We start from the raw sequence: 7,336 nt of genomic DNA on the forward strand, positions 1-7,336 counted from the left end.
GAGATCGCGCCACTGCACTCCAGCCTGGGTGACAGAGCGAGACTCCGTCTCAAAAAAAAAAAAAAAAAATCTCTTATGTTTCTAGTGAATGAAGACTGTTTATTAGATACCACATGAGTGGCACTCATTGCATAATCGGTTAGTAGATTTACTTTTACATCTATCTTTTGAGTGGTCCCAGCAATAATTAGTGAAACATAGTGTAAGAACCAACCATTACCCTTGTTTTATAAATGACGAAACATACTCCAAGATTATGTGAATGGAAAAGGAAACATGGGAAAATCATATTTCTGAACATGATTTGTCCAATTATAGGTTTTGCTTTAGGAAGACTCACTATTAAATGTGTGTGAATGTGTGTATGCATGTGTGTGTATGTTTTTATTATAATAGTATATGTGCTCATTGCAAATCATTTAAAAATACATGTGAAGAAGAAATGGAAAGTCGCCAGTAATCTCATTGCTCCATGGTCACTATTGTAAACATTTGACATTTGTTAAATCTATTATTTATGTCCTGTATTCAAAGTAGTGTGGAGGTAGGCAAGACTAGTAGCCTACCTCAGGTAGCCTGGACTAGTCAGGAAATTTGAATATTCTACCTGTCTGTTACCTTAGTTTTTGACCTTGGTGTAGGGATTCCATGATTACCAACATTTAATTTTTAAAATTATTTCTTACCTTACCTTCTTCTCCAGTTTCTACTGTTATTTCTATTAAATAAATATGACTTTGTTTTCCAGTGAGATATGATACGTGATACTTTTTGAAATATTAAAAGTCACTTAAACAGTATCCATTTGTCTCTATAAAAGCCTAGCTAGGCTCTCCATGAAGGGAGCAATTCAAATAGATGGTTTGTAACATCTTTTTCAGTTTTAAAATGTGGATACTCTGATTCCATTGCACATTGATATATGAACTCATTCTTCCTTACGATTATTCCCCAAGTGGTAATTATTTTGCTTCTAGACCAGCAAGCTAATATCTCAAAAACTCTTACATGTAAATGTAGTTGTTTAAAAATATTTATGCTGTGTAATGTCAGTAATTTATGAGTTACAGACATGATATCCATTATATTTTTGCCTAATAATTCATTTTTAGGAAAAACTAAGAATAAAGTTATTCTTTGTATTTTTACTAATCTTTTCCCAACCAAGTGTTACTGAAACTGTCATCCCAAAGTCTTTTTACCTTTTAAGGTTCTCACTTTTGAGGCTGAGAACTATGAAGCTAGTATTCAAATTTGCATTCATTGTTGTAATTTCTGGCAGTATGTCCAATTTAATTCTACTGTTAGGTGCTTGTTTGTTGTACTTATGAAGAACTAAGGATTTTCTAGTAGCCCAGAGTTATGTTATTTTTTGCTTAGTGACAATTTTTACAAGAGACCTTATTATAATGAAACCAATGAAATGCATCACAGTACCTTTTTCAGAGTGCCAGTGGCTTATGAGATATTTTTTGATGTAAACTTGTTAAAGCCATGTAACTAACCAAGCTTATATCCTTACTGTAGAACTAGAGACATATTATAAATATTTATAACGAACAAAATTGGGGTAAGAATCCCTCATTTGTTCTATTTTTTGGTCAGTCAATAAATATATTTTTAAAAATTTGTGTCTGTGACTGGTTTTGGTAACAGGGTAATACTGGCCTCATAGAATGAGTTTGGAAGTATTCCTTCCTCCTCTATTTGGAAGGATGCCCTTCTCTTCTATTTTTCAGAATAGTTTGAGTGGGATTAATATTAGTTCTTTAAATGTTTGGTTAGAATTCAACAGTGAAGCTATCATTTCCCAGACTTTTCTTTACTGGGAGACTTTTATTACAACTTCAGTCTTGTAACTTGTTATTAGTCTGTTCAGGTTTTGGATTTCTTCCTGGTTCAATCTTGGTAGTTTTATGTGTGTAGCAATTCATAAATTTCTTCTAGATTTCCCAACTAATTTGCATGCAGTTGCCCACAGTAGCTGATAATGATCCTTTGAACTTTTGCAGTATCAGATGTAATGTCTCCTTTTTTATTTCTGATTTTCTTTATTTGGATCTTCTCTCTTAGTCTGGCTAAAGATTTGTCAATTTTCGTTAGCTTTCCAAAAAATAAACTTTTCATTTCTTTGATCTTTTGTATTTTTTTATTTCAATTTTATGTATTTCTGCTCTGATCTTTATTATTTCTTTTCTTCTGTTAATTTTGGATTTGGTGTGCTCTTGATACTTCAGTCCTTTAAGATGCAGCATTTGATTGTCTATTTGATATTTTTCCTCTTTTTTGATATTGGCACTTATAAACATCCCTCTTAGTACAACTTTTCTTGTATCCCTTAGATTTTGGTATGTTGTGTTCCTATTATTATTTGTTTCAAGAAATTTTTCAATTTCCTTCTTAATTTCTTCATTGACCCACTTGTCATTCAGGAGCGTATTGTTTGATTTCCATGTATCTGTATAGTTTCTGAAACTTCTCTTGGTAGTTCTAGTTTTATTCCATTGTTGTCAGAGAAGATGCTTTATATTATTTCATTTTTTTGGAATATTTCAAGATTTGTTTTGTGACCTAACATATGGTCTGTCTTTTCAACTGATCCATGTGCTAAGGAAAATAATGTGTATTCTGCAGCTTCTGGATGAAATGTTCTGTAAATATCTATTAGCTCAATTTGGTCTGTAGTGAAGATTAATTCTGATGTTTCTTTGTTTTCTTTCTGGAAGATGTGTCCAATGCTGAAAGTGAGGTTTTGAAGTCTGCAGATATTATGGAGCCTATAGCTGTCTTTAGCTGTAGTAATATTTCCTTTATATATCTGGGTGCTCCAGTGATGGGTGAATATATATTGAAATTATTATATCATCTTGCTTAACTGACCCCCTTATCTTTATATAGTGACCTTCTTTGTCTCTTTTTATAGTTAGTTTTTGTCTTGAAATTTCTTTTGTCTGATATAAGTGTAGTGACTTTTGCTCTTTTTTTGTTTTTCTTTGGCATGGGATATCTTTTTCCATCTGTTTGTTTTCAGTCTTTGTGTGTCTCTATAGGTGAAGTGTGTTTCTTTTAGGCAACAGATCAATTGGTCTTGTCTTTTCATCCTTTTAGTCTGTGTCTTTTGAGTGGAGAGTTTAGTGTATTTACATTCACTGTTATTATTAAGTAAGGATCTACTCTTGCCATTTTGTTTTTGGTTTTCTGGTTGTTTTGTGGTCTTCTTTCTTGCATTCTTGTCTTCCTCTAGTGAAGATGATTTTCTCTGGTGATTTAGTTTCTTGATTTTTATTTTTTTGTGTGTCCATTGTATGTTTTTTGGTTTGAGGTTACCATGAGCCTTGCAAATGCTATCTTATCACTCATTATTTTAACCTGATAACATGACACTATTTGCATAAGCAAACAAACAAGCAAAAAGAAAACTAGTAGAAACTTGCCTTAACTTCATTTCCTTGCTTTTTAACTTTTTGTCGTTTCTGTTTATATCTTCTACTGCCTATGTCTTGAAAAGTTGGTGTAGTTATTATTGTTGTTTAATTCATCATTTAGTCTTTCTACCTAGGATAAGAGTAGTTTGCAAACCACAGTAACAGTGTTTATAATATTCTGTACTTTTCTGTGTACTTATATTACCAGTAAGTTTTGTATTTTCAGGTGATCATTTATTGCTCATTAATGCCCTTTTCTTTCTGATTGGAGTACCCCCTTTAGCATTTCTTGTAGGACAGGTCTGCTGTTGTTGAAATCCCTTAGCTTTTATTTGTTTGGGAAAGTCTTTATTTCCTCTTCATGGTCAAATAATATTTTCACTGGATATGTTATTCTAGGGTAAAAGTTTTTTTCCCTCAGCAATGTAAATATGTCATGCCACTGTCTCCTGGCATATAAGGTTTTCACTGAAAAGTCTGCTGCCAGATGTATTGGGGCTCCTTTGTATGTTATTGTTTCTTTTCTCTTGCAGCTTTTAGGATTCTTATTTTATTCTTGACCTTTGGGCGTTTGATTATTAAATGTCTTGAGGTAGACTTCTTTGGGTTAAATCTGCTTGGTATTCTATAACTTTCTTGTATTTGGATATTTTCTCTAGATTTGGGTAGTTCTCTGTTATTTGAAGGTTTACTCAAAATAAACTTTCTCACCCTGTTCTCTACCTCTTTTTCAAGGCCAATACCTCTTAGATTTGCCCTTTTGAGGCTATTCCCTAGATCATGTAAGCATGTGTCATTGGTTTTTATTCTTTTTTCTCCTCTGTGTGTTTTCAAATAGCCTTTCTTCAGAAGCTCATTAATTCTTTCCTCTGCTTGATCCAATTTGCTCTTGAAGGACTTGATGAATTCTTAAGTATGCCAATTGCATTTTTGAGCTCCAGCATTTCTGCTCGATTTTTTAAAATTATTTCAATATCTTTGTTAAATTTATCTGATAGAATTCTGAATCCCTTCTCTGTGTTATCTTGAATTTCTTTGAGTTTCCTCAACGCAGCTATTTTGAATTCTCCATGTGAAAGGTCACATATCTTTGTTTCTCGAGGATTGATTCTTGGTGCCTTATTTAGTTCGTTTGGTGAGGTCATGTTTTTCTGGATGGTGTTAATGCTAGTAGATGTTCCTCGGGGCCTGAGCATTGAAGAGTTAGGTATTTATTGTACTCTTCATTGCCTGAGCTTATTTGTAGCCATCCTTCTTGGGAAGGCTTTCCAGTGACACTGGTTCTTGCAGACTTGTAGAGGTACTGCCTTGATGGCCTTGGATAAGATCTGGGGTGATTCTCTGGATTACCAGGCAGAGTCTCTTTTTCTCTTCCCTTACTTTCTCCCAAGAACACAGAGTCTCTCTCTCTCTCTGTTCTGAGACACCTAAAGCTGGGGCTGGTATGATGTATGATACAAGCACCCCTATGACCACCACCACCACCACTTCAGGTACTGGGTCACACCTGAAGCAAGCACAGTGCTGGGTCTTGCCCAAGGCCTGCCTTAATCACTCCTTGGCTATAGCCTATATTCACTCAAGGCCCTGGGGCTCTACAATTGGCAGGTAGAAAAGTCGGCTGGGCCTGTGTCCTTCTCTTCAGGGTGGCAAAGTCCCCATGGCCACCAGTGGGTCCACAGATGCCATAGAGGAGTCAGGGACTAGAGTCAAAAAACTTAGAAATCTACTTGGCATTCTGTTGTACTGTGGCTGAGCTGGCACTCAAACCACAAGACACAATCCTTCCCACTCTTTCCACTTTTTCCCCTTTCCAAAAGCTGAGGAGCCTTACCCCGTAGCCACCGCCACACCTGGCCATGAGGAGTACTGCCAAAGTACCACCGATGTTCCCTTAAGGACCAAAGGCTCTTATATCAGCTTGTGGTGAATGCTGCCTGGCCTGGGACTCACCCGTCAGGGCAGTGGGCTCCCCTTTGGCCAAGGGCAGGTCTAGAAATGCTGTCCAAGAGTCAAGTCCTAGAATTGGGAACCCAAAAGCCCACTTGGTGCTCTACCCCACAGTGGTGGTGTTGGTACCTAAGATGCAAAACAAAGTCCCCTTTACTCTTCCTTCTGTTTTTATCAAGTGGAAGGAGTTTTGCCCCATAGCCACCACAGCTGGTAATGTGCATAGTCTCACCTGAAGCCAACAAGTCTCAGAAGCTCACCAAGGTCCTCAACGTAGTACCCGGGTATCACTGCTGGTTATTCAGGACCCAAGGGCTCTTCAGTTAGCAGATGATGAATGCTGCCAGGACTGGGTCCTTTCCTTCAAGGCAGTGGGTTTCCTTCTGGCTCAGGGTGTATCTAGAAATGTCATCCCAGAGCTAGAGCCTGGAACAAGGGCCTCATGACCTCAAGGTGCCCTGTCCTTCTGTGGCAGAGCTGATAAGCAAGATGCAAGACAAACTCCTCCCAACTCTTCCCTCTCCTCTTCTCAAGTGGAAGGAAGGGGTTTCTTTTGGATCCACAAGCTGTGCAGTCTCAGGTTAGGGGAGAGGTGATGCCAACATTCCCTTAGCTGCCCCAGCTGGTATCTCAGTATGTCCCATGCCACTTCAGTCCATTGTCTTTGGGCCTAGTTCAGCACTAGGACTCACCTATGAGGTGCAGTCCTTATGGCCTAGACTACCTTTCCAATTTACTTAGACAACAAGAGCACTGTGGCCTTTGGTACTGAGGTTTGCGGGCAGTCAGGTTTGGACTGCTGGTATCAGTGATTGCCCTCTGGCTAAGGCTGGTTGACATGCCTTCTTTTGGGTGGACTTCAGCTTAGTTTGGTCAGGTTTTCCTTTTTGCTGCAACAAAATGGCACTGAGTTCAGTGCCTCACAATTGCTCTGTTCTCCCTTCACCAGCACCCAGAGGTGCTCTTGGCACCAAGCCACACTGCTGGGGTCAGGGAGGGGTGGCATCGGAGACTCGGAACTGTTTTTCTGTCTTTTCAGTGTCTCTTTCAGTGATACGAGGTTAGAACCAGGTACTGTGAGTGCTCACCTGATTTTTAGCTCTTAGGAAGATGCTTTTTCCTGTGTAGTTGTTTGTTAACTTAGTATCCTTGTGGTAGGGGTAGGAGGATGATCTGTGGAGTTTTCTGTTCTGCCGTCTTGTCTCACCTCCCTCCTAAAAAAATATTCTTAAATGAGATTGTAATGTTTATATGAACTTGCACGAAGACAGACGTCTTGTGCTTGGATCCTGGGTCTCTTACCGGTTTTGTAACATTCTTCAACATACTTATAACTCTGTGCCTATGATGCCTTCTCTGTAAAATGAAGATAAGAATAGTGTCATAATGGATGTAAAACCTTTAAAACAGGACTAAACGCCATGTAAGGTTAGGTGGTGGTATTGTTACTATTTATCTTATTTATATCATATTCTGTGGTGACCTGTCCGTATTTGCGAATACCTTTCAGTGATAGGAAATTAATTCTACTTCTTGATCCTAATTCTACTCCCTGTCTGTTCCTAATCTTGTTTTCCTTTGCTTCCTCTTTTCTCATCTACTCATATTTTATGCCTTCCTTCATGCTTTACATAACTTGTAGCCACCTTCAGTGTTTTTTTGGAATAAAGTAGTGTATGCATACATACATATAAATCTTTGTTCCTAGAATTTAGCACTGTTAGTGCATGGTCTTTATCTTGGATGTTCATATATTCTAGTTCCCAGAACAGTAACTTCTAGACCTTAATAAATTATTTATTGAATGAACAAAGGAATTAATTACTTTGAATTTGTGAGGTGTTGTATATGATTATTATTTTATTCCTAAATCTTATCATTCTTTAGACCAAAAGGATATCCAGTTTGACAGTGTTCTTTTTTAAGAATGATGCTTATAACCGAATATAATAGTTCTTATG

This window comes from Homo sapiens, chromosome 22 (genome assembly GCF_000001405.40).
Source record: "Homo sapiens chromosome 22, GRCh38.p14 Primary Assembly".
NCBI classification, from domain to species: Eukaryota; Metazoa; Chordata; class Mammalia; order Primates; family Hominidae; genus Homo; species Homo sapiens.